Here is a 21742-nt window from a genome sequence, read left to right on the forward strand (position 1 = left end):
ATAGGTGTTCAGCAAATATTATTATTATTATTAAATGACTCAGAATTAAACATCTATTTCTTTAGATTCTTCTGTATTCAACCATAGCATCTATTATAGTACTTAATATTTAGTTGGTTCTAATATAGTGTATGGCTTTAAATTTTAAGGACTAAAGATTATTTATTGTTATTACTATTACCAATCTTATTGGCAATATAATTCTTATGAACATAAAATTAGTAGTAAAGTAATAATCTGATTGCAAACACATCATGTGACATTCTTTTGTTTTAATGGATTTATATAAAAATAATTTTTATAAAATTATCTACCTCCTTACCTTAAGAGTTATTAAGAGTAATTAATTTGAGTCATTCCTAGGATGAAAATTGCATGAATGCTGGAGACATGAGATGGTGAATTCTGGGTAAAGAATTCCTAGAGCCTGGTATGGCTTTTGAGTTCTCCAAATTAGATGCCACACAGTTGTTATGTACTAGTCATTCATATATTTAATACATTTTCACTGGACACATTCCATGTGGCAGGCATTTCTCTGAGGGAGAGACATAGTAGAGAACAAGACAGATGTGGTTCTGCTTTCACAGCTTAGAGGGGAGTGCCAATGAACAGGGTCTGCAACGGAGAGAGGGACATGAAATGCTTACAGTTTTCCTAAGTTTGAATATCAAAGTCAGCTTTCAAGAATGATGAAACCATGTTGAACTGATCAGGAGCAAACAAGAAATGCTATGTCACTAGGCTGTATTGAAAACTTGGACCCACCAGCCTATTTTCTATTAATAGTCTTAATATGGATGAAAAAAAATCACTAACCTTTCAGATATTCATTTGGGTGTGGAAGAAGCCTCCTGAAATGAGGAACCAGGAGGGAAGACTCTGAGAGAACAGGTTTCTCACAAACATTTCCTGCTCAGACTTGTTTCAGACAGACTGAAATTTTACAAGAACGGGTTTCTTATTATATCCCTTTTAGCCTCCTGAACTGAAATCAGCTGGCTGTGGATCATTACAAAAGTATCAAGCCTTTTCAAACCTCAAGTAAAAAGAAGAGTTTTATTGAAAGCTTTTTCCTTTAATTCCACCCATATATCTGTAAGTATGTTTCTGCATAACAGATTCTGCATATTTCAGAAGCTTTCTTAATTTGCAGTCTCCCAAAATATGGTTAAGTCAAATCAAATGTCAAATTCAAACACCTGCTACAAATAAACAAGCTTAACAAAAGCTTCTCTGGCTTCCCTGGACACGCTGATCACAAGATTGAACCCACAGCTGAGAGTTAATGAAACATTTTAGAGAGCAATATATTTTAGAGGAAAATCTCCACGGATATTCCTGGGGAGTTAGAGAATTTCCAGGAGTAAGCAATGAAGTCAAATCCTTGCTGTATTAATTTTTTCTTAGTATTTCCAAAGACTCATTTGGGAAAAATGTCAAGAAAGAAAAAATGAGTTTAGCCTGTTCAAAGTTAAGACAGTATGACAATATTTTGGTCCAAAAACACATCCATGACTTCACACAGTTCAGAACCAGGCTAAATTTTCTGCAGAGTTCATAACCAGAGTAAGTTCCTAAGAAGCATCTAGAAATCACTGGCAATTAGAATGTATTTTTACCATTCTTAGAACACATCAGCAAAGCCTCTAGGCCTTTATACTTGCTATGCCTGCACCTAGGATGTTCTTTCCCCATTTCATACATAGTTTGTTTCCTCATTTCATTTAGTCTTAACCCATAACCCTGTCCTTCAAGCCCTCCTTATTCATAGTACCCCATTTCTTCAGTAAGAAGCCTCATCCCTGAGACATTCCTCCTTCACTGACATCCTAATTATGTTTACCACACAATTTTCTTCCTGACCCATTTGCCATTATTTAAATCTTCTAAGCTGTATGTTCTCCTTTAATTCCTACCACCAATTTCATACCTGCCTAGCTTTCCAGCCAACTGTGTGAAGAAAGGGGCAAAAAAGCATGTTGGAAGCAGTAGTGAGGTGATGTGCTTTCTATCTTTTCATCACAATAGTTGGTTCTGATAGGATTCAAGGAATATATTCCAAATGAGAGGTAGGATTCTGCTTCTCTATTAAAGTAAGCCTTTGGTATTCTTACATTTGACATGTGAGATGTTTTATATTTTGCACACCTCCCAAAGATCTATGACAAATTTCTTTTAAAACAAAGTAAAATTAACTTTACCATGAAGAAACATAATATTACCTCAGCCAGATGATCAAGGTTACTATCAACATAAGTCAGATTAATAGTATGTACTGTATTAATCATAAAATGTGATGAGAAGGGCACTTTGCTTCCACTGTCTTCTTGATAACATATAACTCCAGTCTAGCCATGAAAAAATATCATGACAAATTCAAAACAAAGAGAATTCTACAAAATACCCAACCAGCACTCTTCAAAACTGACAGTCAACAAAAACAAGGAAAATCTCAGAAATTGTCACTGCCGGGGGGACCTAAGGAGACATAATGACTGAGCTTAACCTAGTATCATGCATGGGAGCCCAGGATGGAGACATGAGAGAAAAACCAGTGAATTCCAACAAAGTATGGAGTTGATAGTAATGTATCAATGTTGGTTTCTTAGTGGTGACAAAGGTACCATAGTAATGTCCGGTGTTAACAATGGGAGAAACTGGGTGTGGGGTACATAGGAATGCTCTAGACTGTCTTTGCAACTTTTCCGTAAATCTAAAATTGTTCTCAAAAGTTTTTTTAATGAATCTACAATATCCCAATTAAATAAAAGAATATATTAGGAACACTTACAACTAATATCTTTTTGTCCCTTGGGAACTATGTAATAATACTAATAAGAACCATAAAAACTATCATTTATTGAGCACTTACAAAGTGCTGGAAGCATGCTAAGCACAACACATGTTAATTCATTTTATCCATGCAGCAAGCCTAAGCGCTAGGTACTAGTATCACTCTCCTTCTACATATGAAGCAACTGAGACAGAAATAAGTAGGGGTGGGTGGCTGAGTTGCTGATTAATGTTGCTAATCAGGGAAAGGACTGTTAAACAGTGTAAGTTTCACTATATGACGTTTCTCAGATTACATAGCCATACTCAGATATTAGAGAGACTATTTCCCATAGAGGGTGCTGGTTAGAAGATTATAATAGGGTAAACTATTCCTGACAGAGAAAGTACACGGAGAATATAATCAGATTTTCTACTCTAAGGCTTGGGTAGATTGCAACTGCATAGCAGAAGAATACTATACAATTCTGGAATGGGCATATGGCGAGATATTCAGTCCTAGGGATCTCAGGAGTCAGTAATTAAAGATGAACCGGGATTCATATAAGCCGGCTTTTACTTACAAATGTCGATTATATGCCAAAGATATGGAAATGGCTTGCAATAAGAGGACTAGCCAGCCAAGAGCTGCACTCTATTCTGAAGTAGTACTTCAAGAGCCAACCTTGTTTAAAAGCCTGAAAATCAGGAAAATTACCAGAGTCACTTTGGACCATGTCTGTGAAAGAGATTTTCTGTTGGGGGAGAAAAGGGAGGCTAATAGGGCTAAGAACCAGAAGAAACAGAGAGAGGGAAGACACCTAGTCCTGCAGCAATCCATGCTCAGAAAGCTGAGCAGGGGAGTCTGGATGATGCCTCCCACAAAGTCAAGGTCATCCTGGTACAAACAACATGGGACTTGACAGAGAACAGCACACTTAGCTTGTTCCCCTTTCACTCTGGTCTAAGTTTGTCCCTGAAGGCTTAATGAGGAGAAAACAGAGCAGATTCCAGGCCTTAGCAGACCCCGTCATTTACTCTGCTTAGAAATATGTAGAAAAATGTGTCTGATTCCAGTTACAAAGAATGCAACATTGCGACTCCAGTACCTACAAGAATGCCCTACATGTACTAGTCCCTTGATAAATATTTATTTACTGAACAAATAATTCCAACAAATTAGTTTTTGTTTATTAAATTTCACATTCGATAACACCATCTAATTATATATTGATGCATTCTATCTAAGTCAAAATTCTAATTCACAGAATGAGGGGAAAAAGAAAGAAGGAAATTAGTATCATAATTTTTAAAATCTTTTCACCATAAGGCTTATTTCTGGATTGGTTTCCCATACATTAACTATGTTCTGACACTCTGAGAATAGTTAATATATATTCATTGCTCAACAAATATGTATTCATTGTCTGCTATGTATCAAAATTATGCCTGATTATGAGGATACAGAGGTGAATTACAAATAGTATTTTCCCTCAGAAAATTCACCTTCTAGAATAATAATAAAGACTAACACATATTAGGCACATGTGCCTAGCACTGATTAAGCATGCTACATGTGTTATTTACCAATCAATTTATAAAATGAGACTATTATTATCTCCATTTTCCAGATGAAAAAGATGAGACTGAGAGAGCTTAACTCACTCACTCAATGGTTACATAGCTGGCAAAGTAAGAGTTAACATTTGAGCCCAGAAAAACTGACATAAGAGCCCACAGAGTAAAAAAAAATAAAGACATATATAATTTATAAAAATATATTTACTTGTAATATATATAATGTCTAGTACAATAAAATGATGAATATTAAATATCAATGGCATAATCTGAAATTCAATGAGCCTCACAAACTCAAAAGACCCGAGTAGGCTATGTATGTCCGTGGGAGTTGGGGAGAGAAAAAGAATGATTTAAAAAGTCACAATATTGCCAGGCATGGTGGCTGATGCCTGTAATCCCAGCACTTTTGGAGGCTGAGCCTGACCATTTGAAATCAGGAGTTCGAGACCAGCCCGGCCAACATGGTGAAACTCTGCCTCTACTAAAAATTCAAAAAAAATTAGCCAGGTGTTGTGGTGTACATCTATAATCCCAGCTACGAGGGAGGCTGAGGCAGGAGAATCACTTGAACCCCAGGAAGCAGAGATTGCGATGAACTGAGATCACACCACTGCACTCCAGCCTGGGCAATAGAGTGAGACTCCATCTCAAAAAAATAAATAAAGTCACAATATGAGTAATAACACAATAATCTGAATTCTATCAGCAGAATCTAAATTTAAATCTTTCTTTTAGAATTAAGAAATATCCAAAATATCTCATATATGTTCACAGTCTGAGCCACCCTTCCTGTTATTCCTGACAATGATAGCCTCAAAGGAGGAAGTAGTTAACTTTTTGCAGAGATTTCCACTGAAATTATGGAAAAAGAGGAACTCAATGTGGAGAAGGGATATTTCTTTATATAGTCAAAGAAGGTAAGATACGAAACATGAACAAATATTCCAGAATCTCTGGAACATGGAGTATGTAGTGTAAAGAAGAATATGAGGAAATGATGGGCAGAGGCGGATTACACATAATCTCATAAACTTTGCCAAAGAGCCATTGAAGGGTTTTAAGTAGAAGGTTAAGATGAACAGATTTGTGATTTAGAAACAGGATAGAAACTGAAGTACACTGTCTATTAATTTACTAAAATGGTGAAAATTCTTGAGGGAAAAAAAGTGAAATAATACAAAGGACAGTGAATATGAATAAAAGGGAATGGATATGGAAACACGCCATCTAGGTCAAACTGACAGTCTTCAGTGAGAAACCAGATTTTCTTTCATTCATGTATTCAAAGGATATTTCTTGAGCACCTACTATGTCTCTGGCATGGCTCTAGATGCAGCCACAGAGAAGACGAAGTCTTTGCCTTGTGATGCTTGCATTCCAGTGCAGGAAGCAAAAAATAAGTAAATCTATAATCATACATTAGATAATAATAAATGCAATGAAGAAAAATAAAGCAGGATAAGGTATGTTGAAGGGGTTGTGGGTTCATGGGATATGGAATAGAGGAGAGTGTGGGAAGAAGAATTATGGCCCCTCAGAGATGTCCAAGTCCTAAACCCCAGAACCTGTGAATATGTTATGTCACATGACAAAGATAAGTTAAGGATGTAGGTGGAATTAAGGAAGATGATCACCTGAACTTAAAATAGCATGGTTACTCTGAATTATCTGGGTGAGCCCAATTAATCACAAGTTTATACTTAAAAGTAGGAGAGGAAATCCGAAGAAACAGAGACGGCAGTCTGAAAATGACTCGGCTTGATGTTGAAGACTTTGAAGGTGGAAGAAAGGCCATGAACCAAGGAATGTGGGCGGCCTCCAGCTGGCAAAGAAATAGATTCCCCCAGAGCCTCCAGAAAGGAACACAGCCCTGCCGACACCTTATGTTAGCCCAGTTAGAAACGTGTCAGACTTCTGACCTCCAAACTGTACATAATAAATTTGTACTGTTTAAGCTACTACAATTGTGGTGATATGTGATAGCAATAGGAAACGAGTACAGGGAGACAGGGCTTCATCACTGAATGGTCACCTGAATGATGAGTGGTGTTGTTATTTTAGGCAGAGGAAATAAAAAGTTTACTTATTTGTTATTGAGGGTGGATATTTCAGAAAAAATAATGAGTTTAAATCTGAAATTCTCAAGTGTCAGACACCAATACGGACATTTAGAAGGAAATGTTTAGGATATAGTTGGAAGAAATGTCAGAAAAAATAGGACACTAGATTGGGAAGTTTTGCATTATTTTTAACCAATTTGAATGTGGTGGTAGAAGCCATAAGCAAGTATGAGATTGCCAGGGAGTGTTGTAGTAGCATGAGAAGTAAGAATTCCTGGGGCTGAGACCTTGACAATACTCACAGTAAAGAGAAGTTGGGGAAACAGTGACCTGCAGAGGAAACTCATCTATATCTATCAAGATATATCTAACTCCACATCAGATCTCACTCTTGAGTCCAGACCCACATTTACAACAGCTGAGGGACAACTTCCCCACATATGGATGCCACATATGCCATTTCTTATGGACTGAATGTCTGTCTCCCCCTCAAATGTATATGTTGAAACTTTAACCCCCAATGTCATGGTATTTGGAGTGGGATCTTTGGGAGGTACTTAGGGTTAAATGAGGGTGATGCCCTCATGATGAGATTAATGCCATTGTAAAAAGGAGACACCAGAGAGCTTGGTGTCTCTCTTTTTCTCCACATGTACTCAATGAGGGAAGGCCACGTGAGGATACACAGAGAAGGCAGCCATCAGAAAGCGAAGAAAAAAGCCCTCATCAGACACTGATCAGGGACTTCTGGCCTTCAGAACTGTAAGAAAATAAATCTCTGTTGTTTAAGCCACAAACTCTATGGTGCTTTGTTATGACAGTGTTATAATTAAAAATAATGAGTTTAAATCTGAAATTCTCAAGTGTGTTCCCACTCTGGTATGACACAGTTATTTTCCTGTTGTGCCAAACAAGTGCTTTGCCCTAGTATTGCAGACTTTTCACTCCGTGAATGTTTTGGTTATTCTTTTCTATAAAAATAAGAAAATAAAAACTTTGAAAAGTTCACTGAATTAGGTAACAACTTTTACCAGATTTTATTTCTATTATTGTTTAGCTATCAAAACACAAGCTTTAAGAAATCTGGACACTTCATGAGCCAAGTCACATAAGCATAAACATTGACTGTTCATGTATATAGGTACCAACATACACATGAATCTAAAAATGTACTTTGAATTGATTCTGGAGCACTTTTTGAAGTTCAATAAATGCCTTAGAATCAGCTGGAAGTCCACAAATGGTAATAGTATTTAGCTCATTTCAATAGAAATTATCTCATTAACATGCCAGCTGCTAAAAATGTATGAGCCCAGCCATGTCCTTTGCCTGCCTCAAGGAAAGAAACCATGCTTGCACGGTTTTGGTTAAAAAAAAAAAATCCTTGTTTAAATTGTTAACAGTTGCTCCAGCGTGGCCCATGGCAAGAAATTTAACCTTCTCTCCCTCCCTCCTATATGAGCATTTCCATACCCTTCAGCTAGCTTTTATATTGTCAATGCAAAACAAATTTTCTGACTGCATGTTAAACTATTTAAACCAGCTTTAGCAATAGACACCCTCCTCGGTGTAGTGTCATAGTTTTAAACCTAAACCTCAGAACACAGAAGACCCAAGTCTTCTGTAAAATGATCAAAAGTCTTAAAAGTAATGAGCAATATGAGTGATAAGATCAAAATAGATATTCAGTAAAAGGATCACCTAGCATTAACTAAGCAACTCTTTTAGATTATCTGCTCTATAAATATTTAATTAAGTTAAATGGAAACTTTTCAAATAATTTTCTTTTCACAGTTATAAGGTTTCCTTTAAGGTAGATGTCTTAAGGGACAGGCTTTATTTCTGTATTTGGTCACTCAGAACACTGGGATGTTTTGAAAAATATCCTATAGAAGCTGCCTTGAATTAAAGCAATTTCAACAAATGTAGTTTATACCAGAATTATAATTAATAACAAATATTTCCTAAAATTGTGACCAAATGGAATATTGAGATCTGCATTATTATAACCTAAGTGAATTAAATTTTAAGTTTTTAGAACTGCTCATTCAGTACCAACATTGTTTATTTTGAGTCATTCTCTAAGCTCATATTACAAAAATATAAAATCTAAATTAGAGAGAACACAAAGTAAGAGAAAGAATATTTTAACTCTCATCTATTGATGGATATTAACAGAAGCAGAAGTGGGTACAGTTAAACATCCCACTGACAGAAAGAGGTGCTTTGTTTTTTTTAAGGAGCAGCACCTAACAGCGGAGAAACTATTAGAGAAAGAAAATGTTTATATCCTGGTTTTTCTGCTAACTGGCAATGTTACCTTGAGCAAAATACTTAACTTTTCTTCAAGTTCCTAACTTCTCTAATATGTATAGTAATGTCAGTGATGAGAATGCCATCAGATAGTTTATATAAAAAGCATTTGGAAAAGAAAAAAGCATAAGCTAGTATTACCAAAAGCAGAATAGATAAGTGCTTTGACAAATTCACTGTTTCACTCCAAAAATGTAATCACCACCTGATAATAATGCTGCTTTCAGATTTAGAAACTAGAGAAGAGCTGCATGTATTCCCACTCTGGTATGATGCAGTTATTTTCCTGTTGTGCCAAACAAGTGCTTTGCCCTAGTATTGCAGACTTTTCACTCTGTGAATGTTTTGGTTATTCTTTTCCATAAAAATAAGAAAATAAAAACTTTGAAAAGTTCACTGAATTAGGTAACAACTTTTACCAGATTTTATTTCTATTATTGTTTAGCTATCAAAACACAAGTTTTAAGAAATCTGGTTAACATTTCAAAATACCGTATAAAACTGCTTTTGCTTTTTCTTGGAAAAACCGACTGCGAGTACATCTGAAACCTTCTTGACAAGTTCTCTGAAAGCAATTAGTGGCTTTCTTTTCTTAGTTATAATGTGAGGTTTCACAGAAACTTTTCAAGTCTCCTGCTCCTGTCTTTTTTCTAATGCTTTAAATCCAAATGGCAAGTAGCCAGATTGCACAGAGCTATTGAATGCAGAAAACAGGAATCTCTTCACATCTACAAACCAGCTCTGCCACTTCTGCTCCAGGCACCAAGGAATAAAAAGAGAGAGAAACAGGAAATGTAGAAGAACGGGACCTTAGGTTAAGCTAAGACTCCTTGAGTACTGCACCAAAAGTAAGATCTATCAAAACAAAATTGAGAAATTGGACTTCATCAAAATTAAAAACCCCCTCTTTTAAAAATGCCATTAAGAGAGTGAAATGCCACAGATTAGGAAGACAAGATTTGCAAATCATATATTTGATAAAGGATGAACTTAAAGGATACATAAAGAAATCTCAAAACTCAATAAGAAAAAAATTTTAATGGGCAAAATATTTGAACAGACACCTCCCCCAAAGAATTCATGCTGACTGCAAATAAACAGATGAAAAGATGTTCAACATCATTAGTCATTAAGGAAATGAAAATTAAAACTGCATTGAGGTACCATGACACACCTATTAAGATGAATAAAATTTTAAAACTTACCATATCTAATGTCTATAAGAATGTGGAAGAACTAGAACCTTATACACTGCTGATGGAAATGTAAAACAGCGCAACCGCTTTGGAAAACAGGTAGACAGTTTCTTAAATAAATAAGAGTCAGCCATTTTACTCCTAGATATTTACCCAAGAGAAATAAAAGCAACTGTCCATGCAAAGTATTGTACTTGAATGTTCATAGCAGTTTTATTTGTAATAGTAAAAAAAAAATGGAAAAAATCCAAATACCATCAAAATGTGAATGAAAAAACAAATGGTCCTTTATCCATGTAACAGGCTACTGCTCTACAATACAAAAGAATGAACTGTTGGCACATAATCATATGGATGAATCTCAAAATAAGTGTAATAAGTTAAAGAAACTAGACAAAAAAGAAGACATTTTATATGATCCTAATTAGATAAAATTCTAGAAAATGCAAAGTAATCTATAGGAACAAAAAGCAGCTGAGTGGTTGCCTGGGAAAAGGGAAAGAGAGTGAGAAAGATGGGGTGTAACAGGAAGAAAGGATTACAACAAGGCATAAGAAAACCTTTGGGAGTGATGAATATGTTAATTATCTTACTTGTGATATTTCATGGATAGATACATAACCTTATCAATTTTACACTTTACATATATGCAGTATAATGTATGTCACTTATATTTCAATAAAGTTGTACTTTAAAAAGGAAAGAAAAGGAAAACTCTCTCCAAAGACAATGTTAGGGTACCATATAAGAAGAAATAAACCAAGTTGTCTGCTCTTGACACACACTGAATTTCCTTTTCCTTCTCATATTATCTGCAAATTTATGAACTATCAATGAAACTATGTAGTCTTCATCAATAATATACATGCAAAAGGCAGCAAAACAATTAGCCACTCTTCTCCCTACTTGCCCAGAGAATAACAATGTCTAATGAGCAGCAAAGCATACAGATTTGATTTCCAATGTTTCCCTTCTCTGGGAGCATGGGCAGGTAAAATATGCTTAGACCTTAGAAAATGCTTGTTTAGTAGGCTTGACTAGGGGACAGATGCACAATCTTTTTTTTTTTTTCTTTTTGCCACCAACTTCTGCACCAGTTATCTATTGTCTTGAAGCCTGGATGGCTGTGTCCATGAAGCAGATGGATCAGTTCTATCCTATTTCTAGTTATGATACTCACTGATAAAATAAACATTTCCTCCTTGCTGAGCATTCTTGTTCACATGTGTTCATTTGGCATTGTACCTGCTTACAAGATGTTCTAGCAACATTGGTGCCAAGTCATAACAGTTTCACTCCAGGAGCCTAGGAGTCTTCAAGATATTATATAAGTCTGCCCCTGATCCCTCCCCAATGATGATGATGATAATAAAGCTTTAGACTCCCTGTAATAAATTTTTGATATTTTCAGATAAGTTCAGCTTAAGCTATTTTAATGAAGATATCAGTTTTGACACCCTCAGTGTACAGTGAAGACCAACTCATTCCCATTTCTGTTTCTCCCCTACCGAAGGTGCCAATGGCTTTAATTAAAAGGAAGGGGCTGCTTGCCAACTGGAGCTGCCTCATGTGCTCTATGAAGCTGCCCACCATAGCTGGTGGGCCAGAGACCCAGGCTCTATCCTGGAGTTTGACTTTTGGCTCCTGCCAGAATTCACACCACCTGAAAAGCAGCAGAAGAGAGCCAAGATGTCTGCAGCATGTGGAGCTATTTTCTTGGCACAAGTGCAGTTCAGTTTATACCAGATAATGTTGTCTATATAGAGCATTTCTGCATACATAAATAGGCAGTTCATACAGCCTTGTTAGACACAGTAATAGAGTTTGTACTGAAAATTGACCCAGAGCTGAATTCTGCCAGTTATCCCACGATTAATTCACTGTACTGGCAGAGAAAACACAGCCCTAGCTGTACCCTTGGCTTCAGATTGAGAATCAGCGTACCAGGAGCTCTACCAGTATGGTCCATCTAGTCAATAGAAAGTGAATCTGGAGGTTTTGAATACCTTTCAGACATTCCTAACGTACATTAAATGGGAATACAGCACAGTACAAGCAATGATTCTTCCTAAAATACCATACCCTGCAGAGCTGTGGGTGCTTTTTTGTCACCCTTAAGAGGTTTAGAATATGTAACCAACCCACGTTTCCTGCATCCTTTGGGTTTCCAGTATACAAATACACTCCAAAGACCACAGTGCCAACAATGGGCAAATTCCCTAGGATTCCGACCAGCCAAAGGATTTGGAAACAACCGATTTGTCTTTAGAAGTATCATGAGTATAGTGCTAATCAAAAACTGAGTTTTGGTTTCCTATACTTCTTCCCTTTCCAACACTGTTAGTGTGAGCTTGCTAAATGTTTCTCCTCAGCCTGAAGGTAAAGGGATTCTTAGAAACTTCCCAGACCAATTTAACATGTCTCCAAGCCAAATTTTAGAAACAAAGTCGCATTTTCATATTTAAAAAAACCACCCAGTTCCTATTTACTTGAATTACTGCTGATTTTAGACTAAATTGAAATATTGGATATTTGGTTACTCTGTCTCCTATGATCTTTTTTTTTTTTTTTTTTTTTTTTTTTTTTTGAGACGGAGTCTCGCTCTGTCGCCCAGGCCGGACTGCGGACTGCAGTGGCGCAATCTCGGCTCACTGCAAGCTCCGCTTCCCGGGTTCACGCCATTCTCCTGCCTCAGCCTCCCGAGTAGCTGGGACTACAGGCACCCGCCACTGCGCCCGGCTAATTTTTTGTATTTTTAGTAGAGACGGGGTTTCACCTTGTTAGCCAGGATGGTCTCGATCTCCTGACCTCATGATCCACCCGCCTCGGCCTCCCAAAGTGCTGGGATTACAGGCGTGAGCCACCGCCTATGATCTTTTAAAATTACATATTTGCCAAGGTGAAAGTTCTCAAGTTTTTTTTTTTAATATTTGGTGCGCATACTGAGAAAATACCAGTTACTACGCTATTACTATGAGGTGCAAGATTAAAACTCTGATTATTTTCCACTTGTTAAGGAACTGGAAATTTTCCTTGTTGACAGAAACAATTTTTGAAAGTGAAAACCAAGCAAAAGTTGATACATTTTACAGAGTATGTCTCCAAGCAGCTCGCATAAGAGTAGTAAAGTCATGTAGTTACAGTCGTGTTCCTTCTTATTCAGGCATTTCCTAATATATCAAAACAGCTGCTTACTTAGTGAAAAGGTCCACGCTGGCATAGTCTAAGTGTTCATTCTGACTGTTCTTGGAAAGAAGTGAGGCTGATATAGGCTAGTAGTTGGTGTGTGCAACACAGGTGCTTCTGCTATTCAGTTATCAAGTATTTTTAACCTCATCCCAGATTATAAACTGTAATTGGTAATAAATTGGTAGCACTTTTTTCCTCCACCATAGTGCCATGTTATACACAGCCACCTTAGAGGATGCTTGTCATGGGCTAGATTGTGAAGGGGAGAAAAAGACAACATCCTCCCTTGAAAACAGGAACATGACAAGGATATAAGTTGATTCACTGTGGTATTATTACTTTGCCCTGTTTCTTAATTTTTTGCCTCTTTCACCTTTGAGACCTTGAGGCTTTCATTGCATTTCTTCATCACAATATAAGAAAGTCACAATCGAGGCTGGTAATAATAACAGCTACCATGAGCTGAACACCTGCGGTGTCAGGTCCTGCATTAGCATTTTGCCCATAAGTCCATACAATCCATAATCTTCACAACAGTCTTCCAAGATAAGTATTATTACCCCTATTTTATGTACAAGGAAACTTCCGTTCAGAGAGGGCAAATTATTTACCAACAGACATACAGAACTAAGTGGCAGAGTGGAGCTTCAAACCCATGAGTTTCTTCCTCCAAAGCCAGTGTTGGTTCTATTACACATTATGGTGTTCCTTCCAGAAAAGTTATAAGGGCCATTGAGCTCTCCTTGAGAGTCAGCGTGTTCACTCCATTTCTGCCACAGCTTGCATTATGAAGCAACCAGCCATTCTCCACCATTGAGGGTGAATCTTAATTATTTTCACATGGTTGTGTTTGCTACTATAACAATAATACCCCCATGCATGGCTAATCAAGAAGTGGCTTGTTTCTTACCAGAAAAAAATGGCTCTGGAATTCAGGATCTAGTGAATTCTTATAATTTTATATTGCCTCCGTATTCATTTTAAGTATAAGTTGGACTTTCTTATACAGAAACAGGGCATAGTCACTCTTGACAGTTTCCAATTCTCTGCCTCCTACCAGTTCCTCAATGTGATTGATCCAGATGTTTGCCTTGTGCAACAACAACTTCCTGGTGACCCTTTCCACATGGGACAGCTAGGTCCAACCTACTTGACTGTCCCCACAGACCTCCCACTCTGTTCAGATATGTCACACTGACCACTTCTCAGTCATAGCATGACGTCCTGGAACACGTGCCTGCTTGCTTTAAACCCACCAATTAGAACTTGCCCTGGGAAACCTGTTTGGGTAACACCCTGAACCCCAATAAAGGCTTTGGTCCTCTGGTCCCTCCTCTCTCTCTTGCTCCCCACCTGCTAGTTGAGCATGTGTGTCCCAGACCCCACTGGTCCTGCAAGACGTATTGCCCTCTTTTCTCTAAGATTGGTAAGTAGTAAAAATTTCTTCTGTTATTTTACGTGTTTGTTGTGCTGCCACCTCTGTCTCACCTGACTAATACATCTGAACCGAACTCTCCTTCTGATCAGTGCTGTTCTGGAAGGTGGCTGTCTTGGTAGGGATAAACTGGGCACAGATTAGAGAAGAACCACAGTGCATCCGATGGCATAAACAAGTTTCCCAGGAGAGGGACGCCTGGTCACAGGTCAGATACTTAGGTGTTAGGCCATCCGCCAGGATAAAGAAGAATCCTGTGAAAGCCATATTGTAAACATCAACTATGGTCACTCCTGGAACCCCATCAGGGCAAGGCTAGAGCTTATAGCCACTCTCCAGAGGAGACCTCAAGACTGAATTAAAAGTAAATACAAGAGAGAATATAGTCTGGAACAGGCCAGATATAGTTGGAAGAGAAAGACAGTTGGATGAAGATAAAGGGGCTAATTTTTAAAGTTACTATTACAATGATGGAGACATTTCTCAGGCAATCCTAGAGTTTGTTTTGCTTAAATAAAGTGACGATATAAATTTCTTAGTAAGTCAGGAAAAAAACCTTCTGGATTTAGGACAGGGAGACGGATTCAGGACAGGGATACTTCAGCAAAAACTGTTGTAGCTGAATTCTCTGTTCTCTATCAATTCTATCTATTGTCTTCAGATTGATTTATAGCTAATATAGTAATATAATTTTTGTCATACTCAGAAGTGTTATTTTTCAAACTTGAAAAAATTATTCTTCCCTTCTAAAAGAAAATAATAATCATGGAAGCTCCTTTTCATATTAAATAAAAACTTCTTATGCTTAGAGATAAACAACATTGATAATAAAATAGATGTAGTCAAAACTATGAATATAATAAAGTTATCAACTTAATTTAACATAATGTTATTTTACTAAAACCAAAGTGTTGGTTATAAATAGTAGATATTATTACAGCTTCAAGTCTGATTCTATATATAAATTTTCTGAATTCAGTGATCTAATGCAGAAAAATGCCTTTTTAACTTAAGTACATATATTTAATAACTTTAAGATTCCTTTGCTACTTCAGGATAGTCAGACCTTAGATTCAATCAAAACTCAATAACAATGTATTTTCACAAGCTGATGTACACTCAATAACTATATAAAAATTTTTACTTAATTTAATTGAAGATTAGTAATATGGTATGCAAGTTAAGACTGATTTGGTAATTGATATCAAAATACCAGTTATTTAAATGTCTTTAGTTTTTTTTCTTTTAATATTCTTATCATAAAAGAAATCTTGAAATAGCCCATAACTGATACAAGGAACCCATGATATCATCAAGAATTCTGGCTGCTATAATTCTGCTCCATTGTTATAAATCCCATCTTCTACTTAAAAATATATTGGTTATTTAATTGGGTTCTTTGTAAGAAATTTACAGCACCAATATTTGAGGATAAACTCCATTCATTGGGGCAAACAGATCACAGGTAGCCCTGGAGCTGACAGCTCGCTTTGATTTTTGGTAAAGTTTGTGAGTCCACAGCTCTCTGATCAGCCTTGCACTGCTCTATAGTCTTGTATTTCTCATTTTCTTGGTCAAAAATCTCACCTTCCTAGTGTCTGTGTTTCCACAGCTGCTTTTTCTTGAAGTATACATCAGTGAGATGTTTTGGGATTTTCACACTGCTGATATCAATTTTTGTGGAAGTGCCAATGACAAATTTTTGGTGTGTTCTTCATAGAGGAACTAGATTGAGGACCAGTATTCCAGTCACAAGTTGCAAGCCATTGCCCAGCTGCTTCAGAAAAACCACCTGCTTGCCTCTGTGGCATTCAGTGAGGATGATCAGAATGGTCCCAGGAAAGATGCTAGCCTATAGTTTTCTCACATGCCGATTGAAGGGTTTCTTGCTGTGGCTCAACGGCTTTGAAGGCACATCTTCAATAGGATCATAGCTACACATTATGCAAAGTTTAACCACCGGGTTACCACCATTCTTGTCACCATCAACTGGTTTTGTAACAGTTGCAAGAATCTTTCAATTCTGTATTTAGCAGTTGAGTACTTCTTGTTCATGGCCTTTTGGGAATACATGGCAGACCAAAAATATCTGCCAATTCCTGTGATGAGAACAGGACCTTGGCTGCAGTGGGCCTTCCTCTTCTTGGACTTTTTAGCCTGAAGGTTAGCCTTTTTAATGTTACCACTGGCATCAGCCTTCTTGGCATCAGGTTTTTCCTCCTTAGTATCCAGCTTATCAACTTTTTCGTCTGCCATCTTGCAAGATGGAAAAGAAAGCTGTCTTTCACTTTTGTTTCATAGCCCATGAAGCTCATGCTGGAGTTCCAAACATCATATCCACAGTCACGGCAAAAGAGGGAGTAAATATAAAGGGATAAAAAAAAATCTTCCCTACTGACTTGGTTCCCTTTAAACAATCTTCCCATAATTTCAACAAAATATTTCCACTTACATTATATTTTCCAAAACTTAGTCACATAGTGATACCTAGTTGCAAAGAAAGAAGGGTAATGTCGTTTGTTTGTACATTTTTAATTTCTAGGCCACAATGTGCCAGGTTTGTTACTAAGGCAAGACAGGAAAATGGATACTGAAGTAGGAACTATCAATCTCGGTCATATGTTTTATTTTTTAAGTCTGCATTATAAAAATCTAATGCATCTGTTAATATAATCAATAGCACATTCACTGCTAATAAACTATTGCCATTTGGTCCATACAAGAATGACACACATTGGATATGCCTACTTACAATGTGGAAACCTCTACAGTGCAGGTTCCTTTGACTTCTACTTGCCTTAACTGTTATATGCAAAGTGGTGATTCAAGTCTACAATTATTTTTCTCTGCTAAAACTCTAGCAAAACTTTTATTGATACAGCACATGACAGTTGTCAGTTTTTAATATCACCTCCCAGCATCCTGAGGGATCATAATTATCTGATTTTTTATAAAGAAAGAATCAGAGTTTTATAGAGATCAGATAACTCGCCCAAAGTCATGTAACTAAATCCAGAGCTGGACCCCACTACAGATGCTGTGCTCCCACAGGGCTCCTCATAATGATCCAGAAATCTGTGCAAACCACCTTTGACACAGAGTTATTTCTTCAGATCTAGGAATCTAAAACACACTGCATAGCCACGTAACCCTATACAAATTTCCCAGTGGCTGAAAATAATCTGTTTTCCTTGGCACCTCAATTTCAAGGCATCACGTAGATACTAGGTAGAGTAAGTGCTACACTACCAATAATACCACTACTATAATAACAGTGGAGATATATTACTTTACTCTTCCATTACACTGTTGATGATAAACACACAAGTTTTAGTAATTATTATAGAAAAAAAGCACATCAATGTGGTTAATAACATTAATTCTGGACCCACACCGGCTGCTTTTGAATTGCAATTCCAAGCTTACTGGCTGTGTTGTCTTTGTTCAGCTAATCAATTCCTCTGTGCCTCAGTTTCCTAATTTGTAAAATGTAGACAGTCATAGTATTTATAATCCAGGGTTGTTAAAGTATAAATGGGTTAACAATTAGTATTTACCATAGTGCCTAATGCATAGTAATACTATAGTGTTTGCAATCATTAAGGAAAATAATGTGTTACTACAGTTATTAAAATCATTCTATGGAGGTGCATAAGGGAAAGATTATCATAAATAAAATACTTTAATGTGAGGGTCCTAAGGAAGGAAGAATTCAGAGAAACATACATACTAAAACACATTTGACAATCATGTAGAGGCTAAATCAAATAATATCTTAATATCTTAGATTCGTTACTTATTTTGGATAGACTTTGTCCTGAGCTAGTGATACAGAAAAGGATATTTGGATATTTTGTAGCCAATAATTGTAGACTTTAAAATAAGGTATCTTTGTTGTTATTCAGACTGCCAGGTTCACATTAGAAATAACAACTGGCTATCTGAGAAAAGTAGGAAATTAGCCTTTCGTTCGGGTGGGAAGGGAACATTCAAGCACTTGAGAAAGGTGAGAACTGTCAATGTAAAGCAACACTGACAACCAAAGATTAACGAGAGGACTAAAGTGGGATTTTTATGAGCATTTTCATAAAATTTTCATTTTCATAAAATTCATTTCATTCATTTCATAAAATTTTCCTTTTCATAAAAATTTTATTTTCTGATTAACCTTCTGTTATCCTTCTGCATTAGGACTTCTCTTACCTCCCCTGATTTTATTTTTCAATTTGATGTCATATGTATCATATTTATAACACATCGTAAATAAACAACTAAACAAATGTGTTTAGAATGTCTCCTCATTCTGTTCATCAGAGGCAGTTAAGGACAGCCCTAGTCTTAATTTTATAAAACAAAGTAAAATATTCATGGAAAAATAATTACTAGAAGAAAACAATGTATTTCTGAGTGTTGTTATAAAAGGGTTTTATTTTCACACCAGTGAACTCAGTCATGTGGCTTCTGAGAAGGAAACACCAGAGTTCACTTCCTCCCCTCCTCAAAAGAAAAAATAATGGGTTCAAAACTTTAGAACCAAAGGCAAGAAATCCCAGAGAAAATAAACCAGTTATGCATGAAGAACCCTAATACAGTTTTGCGTATTTTAAGACTGGACCTATAAACTTGCTTTAAATCTTGTTCTTCATGTGGTTAAACTATGTCCCACAAAGTTCAGAAGCGAACTTCAACTCCTTTTCCTCTTCTTCATGTGCTGGCCAAACCCTCAAACACACCACATCAGACATGCAAACAGGTGGATGTGATTCCCTGAACAGAGTAATTGATAGAGTTTAACAAGGAAGTCTTCCTTTCCTCTTAACGTGTACAAGTATGTGTTACTAAAAGGAGCCATGGCTCTCAGGCAGGATAAGACACAGATGGTAAATCTTGGAAGACGAAGAAATTGAAGAAATAGGTCCAAAGCAACATAATACAATAGCTGTGAGTCCCAAGCCCTTGTGCTGTCTTAAGCTGTACAAGGGAATCTCTGTGTCCTCCCTAACTTAGGATCCCAACAGCCTCTCAATCTTGGCATATGTGGAGACATCTGAGACCACATTATGTCCTGGTGTGGTTCATACAATTATCCACACTCTTCCCTTTATAGGCTCCTTCTTGTTTCCATCTGACCAATTTCTAATGCAGTATTACCCATACTGGAGGGCAGGAAATAGCATGAAGAACCAGTAGAACTCTATTAACGGTGGTCAAAGTTTTGATAGTGAAGAATGAGAATTAGAAAACAATCTCTTCTGTCCACAGGTTCTGTGGCCCTAATTAATACATATAATGGAGAAATGGATCCCACTTGAGTCCCAGAGCTATTAAAAATAATTCTAAATTATAATTTTTGGACCTAAACTTTTCCAAGCAGTTATTTTATTTGGTAAATCCATTCTTTCTCCAGGACTTTATGTAATACCTTTGAGTAGGCTGTCTTAATGCACATATGCAAGACCACTCACATTTGTGATAAAATGTTGCTTGTATTTATTATAACATCCATCCATTCCAGGAAAAGAAAAAAAGCAAAGTAAAAGTTGGAATTTACAAATTATTTTGTGCTTTTTTTTAATTGGACAAGTTCTAAGATTTTAAAAGAGTGAACAAGGTTTTGCTGCAAGTAATGCATTTATCCAATCTCACCACAAAATGTAGAGCACATAGTGTCCAGGTATGACAGGACTGAAAAAAAAGAAAGAAGCTACAACTGCACATTTTAGAATTGACTCCAACTTAATCTAAAGTATTTCTGAAGCCTTGGTCATTTAAAAACAAATGGTGTCCTTGATTCAGGACTCGATTTTTTAAAAATCTATACTACGTGAGCCCTTGGAGTATATAGATTAGTTGCCCTTTCTTTATAATATGAAACTACTGTTTTCTATTCTATTCTATTCTATTCTATTCTATTCTATTCTATTCTATTCTATTCTATTCTATTCTATTCCTCAGAGGTTAACAACCACACTGTCACATATGGTTGCCTCTCCACCTATTCCTATACAGGGTTAAGTACCTACTGATTTCTGACTGGGGTTTGGGTTTTTTTTTAAGATCAAGTGTATTTAATCTGAGAGGTCAGAGTGTGGCAATACAGCTACAGCCTGGGCATTCCCAGCAGGAGGAAGGTAACATCAACACATTTTGTCTACAGAGCCAAGCATGAAGAAAAACTACAATTAGCCTTTGCTGCTTTTCTGCAGATCCTTCATTTGCATTTTAAATTACATTTTGGTGTATTCATTTTCATCTTTCTTTTGGCTTTTAAAGCTTGAACAGAGACTCCTGACAAAAACACTGCCTAAGATTGGCATTTATTAGGGGAAAAAAAACACATCCACATGATTTTTTTTTCTAAAATCTTCCTTTGAGATTAGTTATTTCAGAAAGTCACGTTGACAGGCAGATGGAGAGAGAGATGCAAGATGGTTTCAGAGATTCTAGGAATCTCAACGCCTGGATTTTCATTTTAACATTTCAGTTTCTTACTAGTCAGTAAGTTTCTCTGGCTGACTATATTAAAATGTGTACTACTGTAATATATATTAAACTTGCTCTCCTGGTACATACTGACAATTACACAGTTTATCACACCAATAAGTTTATTGAAACAGAATCAAAATTTTTTGTCTCTTAAATCCTTGTAGAGATGCTCTTTCTACAAATATGTTAGGCTCTCTCTGTTATCTCTCCTCTTGAGTAGCCTAAATACTATTGATTGGTGATAGCCTTCTCCCTAAGTGGTCACTGGGTGTTAAAATGTAAAGCAAAACAAAAATTCACATAAATCAGATTGTGAGTTTATTCTTCCTTCTTTGAAAGGGGTCAGTGCCTCCTATATTAAATGATTAACACACTTAACAGTCTCATGGACTCTTTGTCCCATAACTTTATGGATGGCTAAACCCCAAAACACCTTACTTTTAATATTGTTATTAAAGGACAGATGTTAAAAGAAAAAAAAAAACTAAAGATTGAGCCATGTGCCAAGGGAGAATAGAAAAATAGTACAACCAAACTGTCAGTTTTCTAAAGGAGATATTAACATGAAAATGTACTGTTATGATTGACTCAAGTGGACTTAAAGTTTGATGTTGTTGGATATTTTTAATTCTCTACATCTTATTGGTATATCTTATTAGAACATGTCTGAGCAGATTCTAGTCAATATTTCTCCAGCTCTCAATGGT

The 21742-nt window shown here is 36.5% G+C and overlaps 1 pseudogene, besides 2 other annotated features; it reads right to left on the reverse strand.

Annotated features, from left to right (window-relative positions):
- Positions 920-969: a silencer, noted in NCBI's record as "silent region_15605". NCBI's record gives its function as "represses an Ori minimal core promoter by ATAC-STARR-seq in GM12878 lymphoblastoid cells {active_cell/tissue: GM12878}" and the evidence as "EXISTENCE:reporter gene assay evidence [ECO:0000049][PMID:35858748]".
- Positions 9431-9480: an enhancer, noted in NCBI's record as "active region_21770". NCBI's record gives its function as "activates an Ori minimal core promoter by ATAC-STARR-seq in GM12878 lymphoblastoid cells {active_cell/tissue: GM12878}" and the evidence as "EXISTENCE:reporter gene assay evidence [ECO:0000049][PMID:35858748]".
- On the reverse strand, positions 15960-16805 carry RPL6P14 (ribosomal protein L6 pseudogene 14; annotated as a pseudogene).

This window comes from Homo sapiens, chromosome 4 (genome assembly GCF_000001405.40).
Source record: "Homo sapiens chromosome 4, GRCh38.p14 Primary Assembly".
Lineage (NCBI taxonomy): Eukaryota > Metazoa > Chordata > Mammalia > Primates > Hominidae > Homo > Homo sapiens.